General features: G+C 49.1%; 1 protein-coding gene across 17 annotated transcripts in view, besides 1 other annotated feature; it reads left to right on the top strand.

The window, feature by feature from the left end:
* The window catches only part of MOV10L1 (Mov10 like RNA helicase 1), a 71,682-nt gene that overhangs the window by 10,552 nt on the left and 44,672 nt on the right, over positions 1 to 16,458 (top strand). For 15 of the 17 annotated variants that reach the window (XM_011530697.2, XM_005261923.5, NM_001164105.2 and 12 more), the window contains 5 exons: positions 7,579 to 7,691; positions 8,100 to 8,287; positions 13,091 to 13,231; positions 13,824 to 14,065; positions 14,557 to 14,689. In XM_011530697.2, coding sequence (XP_011528999.1) covers positions 7,579 to 7,691; positions 8,100 to 8,287; positions 13,091 to 13,231; positions 13,824 to 14,065; positions 14,557 to 14,689 — 817 coding nt within the window. Of the gene's footprint in view, positions 1 to 7,578; positions 7,692 to 8,099; positions 8,288 to 13,090; positions 13,232 to 13,823; positions 14,066 to 14,556; positions 14,690 to 16,458 lie in introns of those variants that run through there. The other 2 variants (XM_011530698.2, XM_017028835.2) reach the window with 2 other exon arrangements.
* Positions 5,266 to 5,375: an enhancer, noted in NCBI's record as "active region_19297". NCBI's record gives its function as "activates an Ori minimal core promoter by ATAC-STARR-seq in GM12878 lymphoblastoid cells {active_cell/tissue: GM12878}" and the evidence as "EXISTENCE:reporter gene assay evidence [ECO:0000049][PMID:35858748]".

Here is a 16,458-nt window from a genome sequence, read left to right on the forward strand (position 1 = left end):
GGCTGGAGTGCAGTGGCACGATCTCAGCTTACTGCAACCTCCGCCTCCTGGGTTCAGGCGATTCTCCTGCCTCAGCCTCCTGAGACTACAGGTGCCCACCACCACAGCAGGCTAACTTTTTGTGTCTTTAGTAGAGACAGGGTTTCACCATGTTGGCCAGTCTGGTCTTGAACTCCTGACCTTGTGATCTGCCCGCCTTGGCCTCCCAAAGTGCTGGGATTACAGGCGTGAGCCACCACTCCCGGCTTTATATATCCATTTTTTATTGCATTTGTTTTTGGCTGATCAAAGGATTTGTTTTTATACCTAAAGAAAGAATATGTCGATGTCATTGACTGAGCTGAACTCAGCAGCGGTTTACTCTACTCCTGCTGCCTATGGTGGTGAAGACGGAGCTGGACTCCATACTCAGGTCTGTTTCTTCTTTCCCAGGAGAAACAGACCTGTGCATACATTGTGGTAGGGCAGGAATTGGAAAAGCTGCCTGGGGAAGTGGCTTCTGAGCTGAAGTCCATTTGCACAGCCCACAGCACTGCCTGTTGGAAGATGAATAGAAGTTTTCTGCTTTAAGCTGGGGGGTGGGAGGTCTGGGGGGTAGCTCTGCCCACCAGGAAGCTGCTGTCTCACTCTTTTTCACCTTGGTTTTTATGTGTATGTGTGTTTTTGTTTTTGTTTTGAGACGGAATCTTCCTCTGTTTCCCAGGCTGGAGTACAGTAGCACAATCTTGGCTTACTTCAAGCTCCGCCTTCCAGGTTCATGCCATTCTCCTGCCTCAGCCTCCTGAATAGCTGGGACTACAGGTGCCCGCCACCACACCTGGCTAATTTTTTGTATTTTTAGTAGAGACGGGGTTTCAATGTGTTAGCCAGGATGGTCTCGATCTCCTGACCTTGTGATCCACCTGCCAAAGTGCTGGGATTACAGGCATGAGCCACTGCGCCTGACCTTTTGTGGGTTTTGTTTTTTTTTTCTTTGTTTGAGACAGAGTTTCGCTCTTGTTGCCCAGGCTCGAGTGCAGTGGTGGCTCACTGTAACCTCCACCTCCTGGATTCAAGCAATTCTCTTGCCTCAGCTTCCTGAGTAGCTGGGACTACAGCTGTGTGCCACCACACCTGGCTAATTTTTGTATTTTTAGTAGACACGGGGTTTCGCCATGTTGGTCAGGCTGGTCTCGAACTCTTGACCTCAGGTGATTCACCCACCTCGGCCTCCCAAAGTGCTGGGATTATAGGCATGAACCACTGTGCCCAGCCTTGACCTTGGTTGTTAACCCTGGGATCCCCAAGATGAAATTGATAGGTGTCTATTGGGATTTTAGAATCTCTGTGCTGCCAGAGAAACGCTCAGTTCTGGGGAAAGGCGCCTATAATCATGGAGGCCCCTCAACCCTGCTAACAGGAAGCCCCTCTCAGGGGTGTCGCCAGGAAATGGCTCAAGAGGAAGAAAACCAGAAATGTTTGATGTTGCAGATGTTGATGGGGCAGAGAAGAGAAGGTGTCCCCTGAGTAATAAAGATGGGCAGGGATCCGGAGCCCAGGCCAAGGGATTTCCCAGTATAAAAAACCTCAAGTGAGGCAAAGTCAGGTCCTCTTGAGGCTGAGAGAGTCACACTCAGACATGTCAGAATTGCTGTGAACACAATCACAAAACCTAAGGACCACAGCAAAAGAACTTTTTTGAAAGAGAAAATACAATGTGCAAAAAGGCTGATACAGAGTATCTAATGAGATCAGCAAACCGGTCAAGCACCGTCTCCTTCAAAGCTCCTCCCCACAGGATGGTCGTACCACGTAGCTGAAAGCAGACATAGCTGTACATGAGCAAAAGGTGCGGCTGTGTCCTCATAAAACTTTATTTATAACTTCTGACCTAAAGGTGGCAAAAGGAAGAATTATGCTAAATTTTTCATTTGCTTGTGGGAGAGTCAGAAGATGCTGTTTCCTTCTTGACGTTAATTCAACAAATTATTAGAGTGCTTGCTGTGCTAGACACTGCTTCAGAGAATTCGCATTTTGAGAGAACAGACAGTAAGCAAGTGAACAAAGAAAATAATTAGCATCAGGCCTGGCACAGTGGCTCACACCTGTCATCCCAGCACTTTGGGAGGCTGAGGCGGGCGGATCACCTGAGGTTGGGAGTTGGAGACCAGCCTGACCAACATGGAGAAACCCCGTCTCTACTAAAAATACAAAATTAGCTGGGCGTGGTGGTGCATGCCTGTAATCCCAGCTACTCTGGAGGCTAAGGCAGGAGAATCGCTTGAACCTGGGAGGCAGAGGTTGCGGTGAGCCAAGATCACACCACTGCACTCCAGCCTGGGCGACAGAGCAAAACTCCTTCTCAAAAAAAAAAAGAAAAAGTAATTAACATCTTCTGCTCTGCAGCAACTGTCCAGGGTCGTGTCAGAGGACTAGAGTGGGTGGTTTGGAGTTCCTTCCTGCGTGTAGCCTTGAGGCTAGGGCAGAGCTGAGCGGGTCACAGGTGTGGCGGGAGGAGGGTCCAGGTAATGCCAGCCGGCCTGGGTCAGGTTCTGTCCTAAACACAACCCTCTGAGGTTACCTAGGTGAGGTCTGACACACGAGGGCAGCAGAGGGGAACACGTGGTTGTAGCGTGGGAGGGAGCAAATGTGGACAGCGTGCTGGGGCACGTGACTGGAGGAAGAGACCGTGCTTGTGCATGTTTGAACAGCACTGTCCCCCAGCCCTGGCCTGCTCCTGAGGTTTGTAGACAACACATGTGAGATGGGAATTCTTAACATCAGTGGTGGGGCTCAGGTTGTTTTATACACGAATGTCTGGTAAACCCTCTGCCATTTGGATGAAGGCAGCTAAAATTGAATTGGACATTTAGCTGAAGCACAGTTTCTCATCCTCAGCGCTCCAACATCTAGGCTGAAGCACTCTCTGTGGTGGGGCTTGTCTTGGGCACTGGAGGCTGTTTAGCTGCATCCTACCCTGGCCATGTTATGACAACCTAGAGCATGTCCAGATGCCATCAAATGGCCCCTGAGGACAGAATAGCCCCCAGGTAGGATCCACTGGCCTGAAGGTGGGGTCTGAGCTGCGAGCATGTGGTGGCTCTGTCCCGGCCCTCTTCATTCCCAGTTGAGCACTGAGTAGTCTATGGTGAGATCAAGGTTTCACAGGTTCTTATTGTAGTCCGTGTGGCCGCAGCACCCAGCTGGGTCACACATCAGGTGATTTCATTATTTTCAAGTTATACCAGTTTGTGCATCCACTTAGAGCAGCAGTCCCCAAACTCTTTGGCACCAGGGACCAGTTTTGTGAAAGATAATTTTTTCCACAGACCAGGGAGGGAGGATAGTTTTGGGATGATTTCAGTGCATTACATTTATTGTGCACTTTATTTCTATTATTATTATGTTGTAATTTATAAGGAAATAATTATACAACTCACCATAACATGGAATCAGTGGGAGCCCTGAGCTTGTTTTCCCAGAACTAGATGGTCCCATCTGGGGGTGATGGGAGACAGTGACAGATCGTCAGGCATTAGATTCTCATAAGGAGCACGCAACCTAGATCCCTCGCATGCACGGTTCACAATAGGGTTCCAGCTCCTATGAGAATCTACTACCCCTGCTGATCTGATAGGAGGTGGCGCTCAGGCTGTAATGTGAGCAATGGGGAGTGGCTGCAAATATAGATGAAACTTTGCTTGTTATCCCCAGCTCACTTCCTGCTGTGCAGCTTGGTTTCTAACAGGCCACAGTCCGGTGCCTTCTGTCTACTCTCCCCCAGCCTGCCCTGTGTGGACTGTCCAGCCTTGTTCTTGGTGCTTGTGGAAAGCACTAGCAGAAATTGGCACAGGGGTCAGGGGAGTGAGTTTGGGAGGGGCACTCCCTGCCTGGTGCCCTTTGGAGGCGTCTGTCCTTCCCATGAGGCCACGGCCCCTCACAGCCGGAGCTACAGCCAGGATGACCATGTGGTTTAGCCTCCAAACTGGTACACGTTTGAGAAGGAAAGGGGATGTCAGAATTAAAATTAGATCATTTTTGAAATATCTATGTATTGGTTAACAGAGTGATTTTATTATATTAGTGGACTTTTAAAGAAGTATTTTTCAGAAACTATTAAAAAAAGGTGAGTATATTAAAAAATGTCATATTGGTTATCTGGACATTATATTCTTGGTACATATTAACATACTTTAATATCTTAGCATCTAAGATGTATTTTTCCGAAAAATGTATATTTTGCAATATGATCTTACTCTTATTATTTCTATAATTGCGTGGTGTCGTCTTCAAAGTTGCATTTTATGGTTGATGAATTTGAAATTGAAATTGTAAACACCTTTGATTGAGCCTTCTTTTTTTTTTTTTTTTTAAAGACAGAGTCTCCCTCTGTCATCCAGGCTGGAATGCAGTGGCTCAGTCATAGCTCATTGCAGCCTCAACCTCGTGGGCTCAAGCAGTCCTCCCACCTCAGCCTCCCTAGTAGCTGGGACTACATACATGCACTTCCATGCCCAGCTAATGTTTGTGTTTCTTGTAGAGACAGGGTTTCACCGCATTGCCCAGGCTGTTCTTGAGCCACAGTGTTTTTAATTGAGGAAATATTAGTAAACTCAAAGCAAAATCTGTAAAATGTAAGATGTTGACAATTCTGTATTTTTTTCTATTGAAATATATTACTGTTCCAGCCCAGATGTTTTCATAGGTACTGTCTTTTTGCATCAATTCAGAGCCCATAAGTGTTCAAACATTTTTACAAGCTGACATTCATCAAGTAAGTTGTCTCTGTCATTCTTTTCATGTGTAGGCCTTCTCAGCGTCTCAGGGCCATTCATGCCCTTACACAATGTCAGCTTGTCCAGTTTAAGAAAGGGCTTCATCGAAAGATTCTTTTGAAAGTTTGGCATATTCTCAAGTCCAGTCTTAGAATTTGAGCATTCATCTGTGGACTCCATTTGGGCTCCTGAGGCCTCATTATTTCCTCCATTGTTTTTCCATGTTCCTGCTCATCAGCTTTATTTTCAATAACTACAATTTGCAAAAGTTATCAAAAGCTGAAGATTTGGGGTTCTACATGTATTAAATAAAGATTTTCTGCTGACTTGAAAAAAGTAAAACCAAAATTTAGAGATCTCACTTAAAAAGAAAGTAAAAGGAGCATCATCACAGGACCTTTTGGTTGATTTACAGAACGGTTCCTCAGGTTCCAGCATTTGTAAAATCCAGGTTGGGGGAGCAGCAAAGAGAAAATGAGGGCTGCCAGCCCCCAGTGTCCGTGTGTGTGTTTCGTTGTCATGAGCTTTGTCACAGGAGTTGTGCATGTATGTATGTCATAGAAGTTCAGGAACTTGTACGTGCTTGTCTTCCAGCTGGCTGCATGTCTGGAGGATCACGTGTGCGCTATAGCCATCTGAGTGCATTTCTGCTGTCTCAGCTTCCTGACCTGCAGGGTCTGATTTGTACTGTGGTGCTTTACTCCGTTAACATCCTGTTATCACTGTAGAAACATATATTTTTATCTCCAGTGTTGAATTTCTAAACTTAATTTACAATGGCATTCACCATAATGTCAAATATTTCTCCTTCAATAGAAAGGTCTTCTGAAATCTTTACTTTTGTTTGCTTGTTTTTGTTTTTTAGAGACGGGGTCTTGCTCTGTCACCCAGGCTGGAGTGCAGTGGCACAATTGTAGCTCACTGCAGCCTGGAATTCCTGGGCTTAAGTCATCCCACCTTAGCCTCGTGAGTAGCTGGGACTTCAGGCTCATGCCACCACACCCCAACTAATTCTTTTTTTTTTTTTTTTTTTTTTTAGAGATGGGATCTTACTGTGTTGCCCAGGCTGGTCTCAAACTCCTGGGCTCAAGTGATCTTCCCACCTCAGCCTCACAAAGTGCTAGAAATCTTTACTATGATTCCATGATTCTGCTGGAAAAAAAAATTAATTGAATTTAACTTTTTTTTTCTTTAAAGTAACTGTACAACGTATAGAACTAGTACATTAATAGCTATTGCTTCACTTTTCATTTATGTCCAGGGAAATTGAGAATAAAAATTGGCAAAATTCTGTTAATTGTGGAATAAATGAAGGCATGGTTTACAAAACGCTGTATAAATGTGTCTCCAGAGTTGCACGTATTAAATTGTGGTTTTAGGACATGGTCTTTTTTTTTTTTTTTTTTTTGAGACGGAATCTCGCTCTGTTGCCTAGGCTGGAGTGCAGTGGCTCAATCTCGGCTCACTGTAAGCTCTGCCTCCCGGGTTCATGCCATTCTCCTGCCTCAGCCTCCCGAGTAGCTGGGACCACAGGCGCCTGCCACCACGCCTGGCTAATTTTTTGTATTTTTAGTAGAGACGGGGTTTCACTGTGTTAACCAGGATGGTCTCAATCTCCTGACCTCATGATCCACCCGCCTCGGCCTCCCAAAGTGCTGGGATTACAGGCGTGAGCCACCATGCCCGGCCAGGACATGGTCTTCTTAAAATACTCCCTGACCTTGAAGTCAGTGCCCTAGCATATTTTAGTGTCTTCTGTTTTCTTTCTTTTCTTTTTTTTTGAGACGGTGTCTCGCTGTGTCACCCAGGCTGGAGTGCAGTGGCGTGATCTCAGCTCACTGCAAACTCCACCTCCCGGGTTCACGCCATTCTCCTGCCTCAGCCTCCCGAGTAGCTGGGACTACAGGCGCCTACCACCGCTCCCAGCTAATTTTTTGTATTTTTAGTAGAGACGGGGTTTCACCGTGGTCTCGATCTCCTGACCTCGTGATCCACCCGCCTCGGCCTCCCAAAGTGCTGGGATTACAGGCGTGAGCCACCGCGCTTGGCCTCTGTTTTCACATAGACAGTGATTTCACCATGGCTCACATGTCGAATGTAGGTGTCAGCTGCTATTTGTGCTGTTACGTGTTCATCACCAGCTTTCTGGAGACACAAACTCAGTATTCAATTATACACTTTTTTTTTTTTGAGCTTCCAGAGTGCTTATTGCAAAATAACAAAAAGATTTTAACTACCTGTACCATGGCAGACCTGTGCAGACCATCTCTCTGTTCTGTCAGCACCACTCAGCCACTTCATGTCACTGAACCTGCAGTTTTCCACCAGCTGCGGGAGGCCCAGCGGTGTCTTGCGTCCGGCAGGCCATGGCTTGGACCACAGCACAGCTCTCTGGCACACTGAGGGGCTGGCTGGACCACTGAGTGCTTCCCTCACACCTGAGTTCAGGTGTCTCTCTGTTCCCGAACACCGTGTGTGTGTCCCTGACAGGGAGGTGCCACAAACACTGCAGGACGGGGGAAGGGGGATGCCACCTGCCCTCAGATGTGCCACACGAGGAGGGACTGCCACGAGCATGCACACTGCACCTTCTAGAGCCTGGAGGTGTGAGTGAGAGGCTCCAGCTCAGCTCATTTTATTGCAGTGGTTAATAATAATACTTCAGGGTTTTTTATTCGAAAATATGTTTCTCACAGTAGTAGAAAGTGCCTTTTAAATGTTCAAATGTATCCTCAGGTATGATAGAAATGATTTCAGTGCACCATGACCTCAGAATAACTTGTGCACTTTAACACTACCATGGCTTTTTTCCTGGCGGTTTTAGGCTTCGAGCCCTGCAAGGGAGACTGGGTGGAGGCTGAGTACCGGATCCGGCCTGGCACGTGGAGCAGCGAAGCCACCTCAGTGAAGCCACTGAGATACAAGCGCGTGGACAAGGTAGCGTGCCGACTAGTGGCTCCTCTCTGTGCTTCTGGCAGACCTGCCATCAGGGGTAACTTGCACGGCCCAGGCTTCTCCTGCATGTGTTGGAAGCCTGGAAAAATAAAGCTTTGTCATGGCCAAAGAGGAGTGTGTTTTCCTATTGACAATGCTGTGTTTCGTTTGGAAACAATAACTCCTAGTGCTTGCATACCTGAATTCTAAGGTCTGTAGCTTATGCAACAGTGCTAAAATGTTCTAAGGAGAAAGGTGTGTTGGAGAATCACTGGACCAGTGCTACGGGATGGCGGACTTGAGCTTCCTGGTGCAGCTTGTGTGCTTTGGGCTGACTTGGGCGTGTGTTAGAGCTGCGCCCTGTCGTCATGCAGCATCTGCTTCCTGTGACGCTCAGCTCTCTGCTCCCAGGTCTGCATCTCTAGCCTCTGTGGAAGGAACGGGGTGTTAGAGGAAAGCATCTTCTTTACCTTGGACTCCTTGAAACTGCCAGATGGGTACACACCCCGGAGAGGTGACGTGGTCAATGCAGTGGTGGTGGAGAGCAGCCAGTCATGCTATGTCTGGAGGGCACTTTGTATGACCCTAGTGAAGAGGCGGTAAGAAAATGCTTTTCTGGCCAGGTGCGGTGGCTAACGCCTGTAATCCTAGCACTTTGGGAGGCTGAGGCAGACGGATCACCTGAGGTTGGGAGTTCAAGACCAGCCTGACCAACGTGGTGAAACTCTGTCTCTACTAAAAGTACAAAATTAGCTGGGCGTGGTGGTGCTCGCCTGTAATCCCAGCTACTCGGGAGGCTGAGGCAGGAAAATTGCTTGAACCTGAGAGGCAGAGGTTGCAGTGAGCTGAGATTGCGCCACTGCACTCAGGCCTGGGCGACAAGTAAAACTCCGTCTCAAAAAAAGAAAACGCTTTTCTTCTTTGGGATGTGAAAGGCCCCATATAAGTATATTTTGAAGAGTTACTTTAATAAGCCAAATAGTAGACATTTCAAGCCCTGAGTTGTTGGGGTAAGAGGAGAGCATCCCTAGCACTTCAGGAGGCCGTGGCAGGAGAATTGCCTGAGCCCAGGAATTTGAGACCAGCCTGGGCAACATAGTGAGACCCCATCTCTACAAAACATTAAAAAATTAGCCAAGCGAGGCCGGGCACGGTGGCTCACGCCTGTAATCTCAGCACTCTGGGAGGCCGAGGCGGGTGAATCATGAGGTCAGGGGATCGAGACCATCCTGGCTAACACGGTGAAACCCCGTGTCTACTAAAAAAATACAAAAAATTAGCCGGGCGTGGTGACGGGCACCTGTAGTCCCGGCTGCTTGGGAGGCTGAGGCAAGAGAATGGCGTGAACCCGGGAGGTGGAGCTTGCAGTGAGCCGAGATCGCGCCACTGCACTCCAGCCTGGGCGACAGAGCGAGACTCCTTCTCAAAAAAAAAAAAAAAAAAAAAATTAGCCGAGCATGGTGGTGTGCACCTCCGGTCCCAGCTACACACGAGGTTGAAGCAGGAAGATTGCTTGAGCCTAGGAGCTTGAGGCTGCAGCGAGCTGTGATCGTGCTACCGCACTCTAGCCTGGGCAACACAGCAAGGCTCTGTCTTAAAAAATAAAAAGAGAAAGGAAAAGGAGGCTGGTCATGGTGGCTCACGCCTGTAATCCCAACGCTTTGGGATGCTGAGGCGGGTAGATCATGAGGTCAGGAGTTCGAGACCAGCCTGGCCAATATGAAGAAACCCTGTCTCTACTAAAAATACAAAAATTACCCGGTTGTGGTGGCAGGCACCTGTAATCCCAGCTACTTGGGAGGCTGAGGCAAGAGAATCACTTGAACCCAAGAGGCAGAGGTTGCAGTGAGGCGAGATTGCACCACTGCACTCCAGCCTGGGTGACAGAGGAAGACTCTGTCTCAAAAAAAAGAAGACTGTCTTGCCGGGCGCGGTGGCTCACGCCCGTAATACCAGCACTTTGGGAGGCCGAGGTGGGTGGATCACAAGGTCGGGAGATTGAAACCATCCTGGCTAACATGGTGAAACCCCATCTCTACTAAAAACACAAAAAATTAGCCAGGCGTGGTGGCCGGCGCCTGTAGTCCCAGCTACTCGGGAGGCTGAGGCAGGAGAATGGCGTGAACCCAGGAAGCGGAGCTTGCAGTGAGCCGAGATCGCGCCACTGCACTCCAGCCTGCACAACAGAGTGACACTCCATCTCAAAAAAAAAAAAAAGACTGTCTTTTGGAAGCTTTCAGCCATCTCTATGGTTGACTGAAGGTGGAGTTAGGGGTCGCTCTTCATCCTTCATCTTACATTGGTGATTGCTGTTTTGGGTGGATTTTTCTGTTTTGTTGTTTCACATTTTGGCATTTAAAAAATGCATTGGATGTAGTTGGTTCTTAAAATTATTGGATTTCTGGCTGGCCACAGTGGCTCACGCCTGTAATCCTAGGACTTTGGGAGGCCAAGGCGGGCGGATTGCCTGAGCTCAGGAGTTCGAGAACAGCCTGGGCAACACGGTGAAACCCCATCTCTACTAAAATACAAAAAATTAGCCAGGCGTGGCAGCGCACACCCTTAATCCCAGCTACTCTGGAGGCTGAGGCAGGAGAATTGCTTGAACCCGGGAAGCAGAAGTTGCAGTGAGCAGAGATCACGCCACTGCACTCCAGCCTGGGTAACAGAGCCAGACTCCATCTCCAATTAAAAAAAAAAATTATTAGATTTCCTGTATCTGTGTTCTTCTTTGTGTGCTAGCCATGACGAGGCTTCCCTGAGCTCCCTACTTGTGGGGCAGCCCCAGCTCTGACCCACCCCCTCCCTGCCTGCCTTTCCTCCTGTAACCAAAAGGTATGTGAGACAGGTCTCAATCAAGTTAGAAGTTCACTTTGCCAAGGTGAAGGACATGCCTGGGAAAAAGGACCACAAATCCACAGGAACCATCTGTGGTTCATGCCTTTTTCCAAAGATGATTTTGAGGCCTTCAATATTTAAAAGAGAAAAGTGGGCTGGAGGAGAAAGAGGGTGCGGTCACATGACTGAATACACATTTGCAAGAGGAAAGGAAAAGGAACAGGGAGGGAGAGTTGGTTGTGTAAATCAGCACTTTGATGTAAGAGAAGGTAACATGGAGATGTTTAACCTTGTCTTGTAGCTCTCTGCTTGGGGACAAAGGAAAGGCAGCTTCTTTCATGACAGCTTCTGGCTGAGTTTTTTCCTTTTGGCATGGTGAGTGGGGTCCCGACTCTGTCTTTGCTTTTTTTTTTTTTTTTTTTTTTTTTTTGAGACGTTGAGATGGAGTCTCGCTCCGTCACCCAGGTTGGAGTGCAGTGGCGCGATCTCTGCTCACTGCAAGTTCCACCTCCTGGGTTCACGCCATTCACCCACCTCAGCCTCCTGAGTAGCTGGGACTATAGGCACCTGCCACCATGCCTGGCTAATTTTTTGTATTTTTAATAGAGACGGGGTTTCACCGTGTTAGCCAGGATGGTCTCAATCTCCTGACCTCATGATCCGCCCACCTCAGCCTCCCAAACTGCTGGGATTACAGGCGTGAGCCACCACGCCCGGCCCCGAGTCTTTATTTTCTTTTCACACTCCTCACTCACCACCAGTGAGCTTCTGAGACATCTCCTCCATCAGTCTGCTTATTTTTGATCCCGATAGAATGCAGGTTCTGTTTGGGGAAAGCGTCTGCTTTCCAGCCCCATATCTGGTGCCTGGCTGGGCCTCTGGGTGCAGACAGACAGCCCTGTGTGAACTGAGCCACAGGGGTGTGCGGAGCAGTGCACCCCATGTAAGGTAGCAGCCGGAGGGTGGACTTGGGGCTGTGGGAGGTGTTATGGGACAGGGCCTGGTGGGCTCAGCCTCCTAGGAGCCTTGCCCTTCGGCCCACTGGCAGATGCTTGTTTGGGTGCTCGGAGCCCAGTTCCCCCTCCCCACTGGACCACGCTTTCCTTTGGGAGGGTGCCTAGGGCCCATCCTGTGGGGCGTGGATGTGACGTGCACTGCTCCCGCTGCATCTGACCACGGAAGCCTGGGACGCACAGGAGCTCTGCTTTCAGCCCAGTCCGCTGAGCCTGGCGGTGCCAGGAAATAAGACCTGCACCTCCTCCCTATGTCTGAGTCGGACTCCTCAGGCTTCCTGTCTGTTCTCTGACCTCATCCCCAGGCAGAAGCTGTGGCGTCCCATTCTTGCATCAGGCCCAGGAACCAGGGGCCTGAAGCGTGGCCTGGGGGTCTTCAGGAACTCACTAGGGCCGCTAAGGAGACAGCACAGCACGGAACCCGCACTCTCCTTCTCTTTAGGCTAGTAATGCTTGAAAAAGACCTGTTTCTGCCCCCACAGCATTTCCCCACTGAGGCCTCCTGACCACAGAGTAGAAGCTGCTGGGGTGGGTGAGCCAGGGAAGCTGGGGTGCCTGTTCCTCAGCTCGTGGCCCCGGGTGGGGCAGCCCCTCTGCACTCTAGAAACAGATCATGTGCCAAGCGAGCTCCTGCTCTCCACTCAGCCCCACAGCCTTCCCGTGGCAAGAGCTCCGCAGCTTCTCCTGTGGGGGCTGAGCCACGCACCGGGCAGTCGCATCTGACGACTCCTTTCTGCAAAATCCCCACCCCGTCCATCAGCAACGCTGTGGACTCTCTGCCCCTGTACCTCCCTTGTCACACCAGGGCACACAGAGAAGGAAGAGCCAAACAGGCACCCGCCAGGAGGGGCTGCTCTGTAGCTGGGAACCTCACTGAGTTTGCAGCAGGGGCCAGAAGTGTGGCGAGCCATTCTAGAGACCCCATTTTTTTAATGGTGCTTCGGACTGGGAAGTGGCATGAGGCAGGTTTACCTTCTGGAAAGAGGTTGTGGAGAGGCAGGGAGGAGAATCAAGCCTGTAGCATCAGTAGAAGAAGGGGAAGTAAGTGGGTCCATTTTTAGGGAAAGGTAAAATCTCATCTTCTCATTTTCTAAAGAGAAAAACTTCTCATTTCATTGTTTTCAAACACTTCAAAGCAACAAAACTCTTTCCAAAGCAAGTTTAGTGGAGCCCTAATAGGCAAGGCCCATGCTTCCCCCACCACCACCTTGGGAGTTGGCTGGAGAGAAGAGGACTGAGAATGCCACCCTAACCCTGCACTCTGAGCAGGAGGTAGGGGAGTGCTGGGGAGCACGTTCAGGACACCGTTCTCAGACTCCTTGCCTGTGGCTGTCCCCTGGGCTGCTCCCTTTTCTCTAGACTTTATGAAGTGCATCGTTCTCTTCCTTAGGGTTTGCCATCCTCCTTAGAAACCTAAGTCTGTGGAAGCCCTGCCTGTGGTGAGGTGGTCCTCTGAGTGCCCCCACCAGCAGTCTATCCTCAGGAGCGGAGGCAGGCGAGGAAGGGGTGGTGCTGCTGCAGAGGGATGTCTTTCTGGGGCTCTTTTTTCAGAGACGCCGCCCCTGTTCATGAGGCCACTCATTTCTATGGAACGATTTTGCTGAAGAACAAAGGTGATATTGAAGTTACACAGGTGACGCATTTTGGAACCCTAAAGGAAGGAAGAAGTAAAACCATGGTGATCTGGATAGAGTGAGTTTGCCACTGAAACATTTTCTATAAAGCTACATTAATGGCTTTTACACTATGACTCAATAATTTCTGTAAAACCAACTTTACTTTGGTCATTTATTTTTTTCTTTATGAAGATCTTTTCTTTTTTTTTTTTTTTTTTTTTTTTGAGACAGCGTCTTGCTCCGTCGCCCGGGCTGGAGTGCAGTGGCGCGATCTCAGCTCACTGCAAGCTCCGCCTCCCGGGTTCACACCATTCTCCTGCCTCAGCCTCCCGAGTAGCTGGGACTACAGGCGCCCGCCACCACGCCCGGCTAATTTTTTGTATTTTTAGTAGAGACGGGGTTTCACCGTGTTAGCCAGGATGGTCTGGAGCTCCTGACCTTGTGATTTGCCGCCTCAGCCTCCCAAAGTGCTGGGACTACAGGCGTGAGACACCACGCCCGGCATGAAGATCTTTTCAAAATTTTTTACCCAAAAATGACCTTTTGACTTATATTCATAAGTGTATTTGCAGTCACCACTTCCTAGATTAGGTTTTGTGTTTTATGATAACTGAATATTTTGGTTTTAGAAATCCTGGCTGTGTTCATAGTTAATTGTATTTTTCCAGGAATAAAGGAGACATTCCTCAAAACTTAGTCAGCTGTAAACTGGCTGGCTGGGATAAATCTAAACAATTCAGATTCCAAATGCTGGATAAAGACCAGATGTGCCCCGTGGTATCTTTTGTTTCTGTTCCTGAGAAGGAGAATTCATCAGATGAAAATATTAATTCATTAAATAGCCACACAAAAAACAAAACCTCTCAGATGTCGGAGAGCAGTTTGGTGAACAACAGAGGAATCTCTCCAGGTAGTGGACGTTTCGGCTGTCACTGCGTGAGGTCGGGTGGGCTGGGGGCCGTGGGGTTGTGAGTTCTGGACAGAGGGCGGGCAGCAGGGGCCAGGACACCCGGCAGCTACAGTGCTTTGTGCTCTGAGCTCTTCGGCTTCAGGCCCTTCTCTTGCTGACGACGTTAGGGAGAGGGACAAAAAGCAGCTTGACAAATACCAAGAGGTGCTTCAGATGGCGGCCGGCTCCTGAGTACCTCGAAGCAGGGAAAGATTGCTGGGCGCGCCGGGGCAGGCCTTCTATCCCAGCACTTGGTAGTCACAGCCCTCTCCTACTTCCAGCTGCTCTCTCTCTTTATGTTTTTCCAGCCACCACCTGAGGCTTTGCCCCGTGTTTTTGTGTGCATCTGTCTTTGTGTGTGTGAGAGAGTATTCATTTCCACTAAGCATGCCAGCACTGTTAGAGATAATTTACCTTTTGGTCAACTTTTGTATTAAAATTTTATTTCCCAGGTGATTGTACCTGTAAAGGAGAAAATGGAGAAAAAGACAACATTCTATCAAGGAAGCAGATGACAGAGCCTGAGCCTGGGGGGCTTGTCCCTCCAGGGGGAAAAACCTTCATTGTGGTCATCTGTGACGGAAAGTAAGGGCCTGGAGGTCTGGGGAGAGCCGCGTTTTTAAGTTTCTCTGATACTTCTAGGTTGGGTGTTATAAAAGGTACTCCTTTGTGGCGGGTGGATCACCTGAGACCAGGAGTTCGAAACCAGCCTGGCCACCATGGCGAAACCCCGCCTCTACTAAAAATACAAAAATTACTTGGGCCCCTGTAGTCCTAGCTACTCAGGAGGCTGAGGCAGTAGAATCGCTTAAATCCAGGTGACGGAGGGTGCAGTGAGCCAAGATCGCACGACTGCACTCCAGCCTGAGACGGAGCAAGACTCTGTCTCAAAAAAACAAAAAGGTACACCTGACGTTTTTGATGTGACAGAATCCTAAGAAAAAGCATTGGTCTAGAAGCTGGGTACCAAGTGTGACCCACCTGGGGCAATGGATCCTGTAACTTCGCACGACTCATGAGGGTCCTCACCAGATGGCCTCTCACCCTCACAAAGAAAACAGGGTGTCTCTGAGGCTCTCTGAGGCCTGAGCTCCCTGTGCTTCTGCTGTTCTGAGACATCACGTTGGCTCCTCTTCACTGCCTTGCCCGTGTTCCGCATAGCCAAGCCCTGGGGCCTCGGTCATCTCCATCCCGTCACCTGGGCATTTGGCCAAGGCACGGACAGCACAGTGTGCTGAGGGAGGGGCAGGAAGGGCCCCTTCCTAGCTGGGATGCCAGACGCCAACCTTGAGCCCTTCGCTCTCCCTGGTGTGGTTGGTTACATCAGCTGACCAAACAGGCCCTGTCCTCCAGCTCCCTGTGTCCCTGCATCCCTGCCTAAGCTGCCCGACAGTGCGTGATAGCCTTCCAGCTGGGTGTCTAATTCTAAATTTTTTGAAAAACTTAAATCTGATTAAATCACAGCTCATCAACATCAAGCTGTGGGTGGCAAGTGCACAGTCAGCTGTGTGAGGTGCAGCCAGCTTCAATGCTTTTTTTTTTTTTTTGACATTATGACAACATAGAAACAGGTTTTTTCAAAAAAGCCATAGGTGCTAACACAGTGAAACCCTGTCTCTACTAAAAATAAAAAAAATTAGCTGGGCGTGGTGGCGGGCACCTGTAGTCCCAGCTACTCAGGAGGCTGAGGCAGGAGAATGGCGTGAACCTGGGAGGCGGAGCTTGCAGTGAGCCGAGATCACGCCACCGCACTCCAGGCTGGGTGACAGAGCGAGACTCCGTCTCAAAAAAAAAAAAAAAGCCATAGGGGGGCACAAAGTGTAGTGTGGATGATGTAGCCCCAGTTAGAGCCACAGCGAGGACTGGGCAGAAAGCACATTAGATATAGTACCTATTTTTGGTCATGTCATAAAATTCTGACTTAAAATTGGGAATATCAAAATTTTTTCCTACTCTTATATGTGTTAGGATTACAAAAAAGACTATTGTAGATGCTTACTTTTTTTTTTTTTTTTTTTTTTTGAGACAGGGTCTCACTCTGTTGCCCAGGCTGGAGTGCAGAGGCATGATCACAGCTCACTGCAGCCTCCACCTCCCTAGGCTCCCACCTCAGCCTCCCGAGTAGCTGGAACCACAGGCACACGCCTCCATGTCCGGCTAATTTGTGTATTTTTTGCAGAGACAGGTTCATCCTATATTGCCCAGGCTGGTCTCAAACTCCTGGGCTCAAGCGATCTGCCCGCCTCAGTCTTCCAAAGTGCTGGGATTACAGGCCTGAGCCACCGCACCGGGCCTGTAGGTGCTTAATTTTATCTTGAGAAAATATTAATTACATAGCTTATTTTAGAAGATCT

Source organism: Homo sapiens, chromosome 22 (genome assembly GCF_000001405.40).
Source record: "Homo sapiens chromosome 22, GRCh38.p14 Primary Assembly".
NCBI classification, from domain to species: Eukaryota; Metazoa; Chordata; class Mammalia; order Primates; family Hominidae; genus Homo; species Homo sapiens.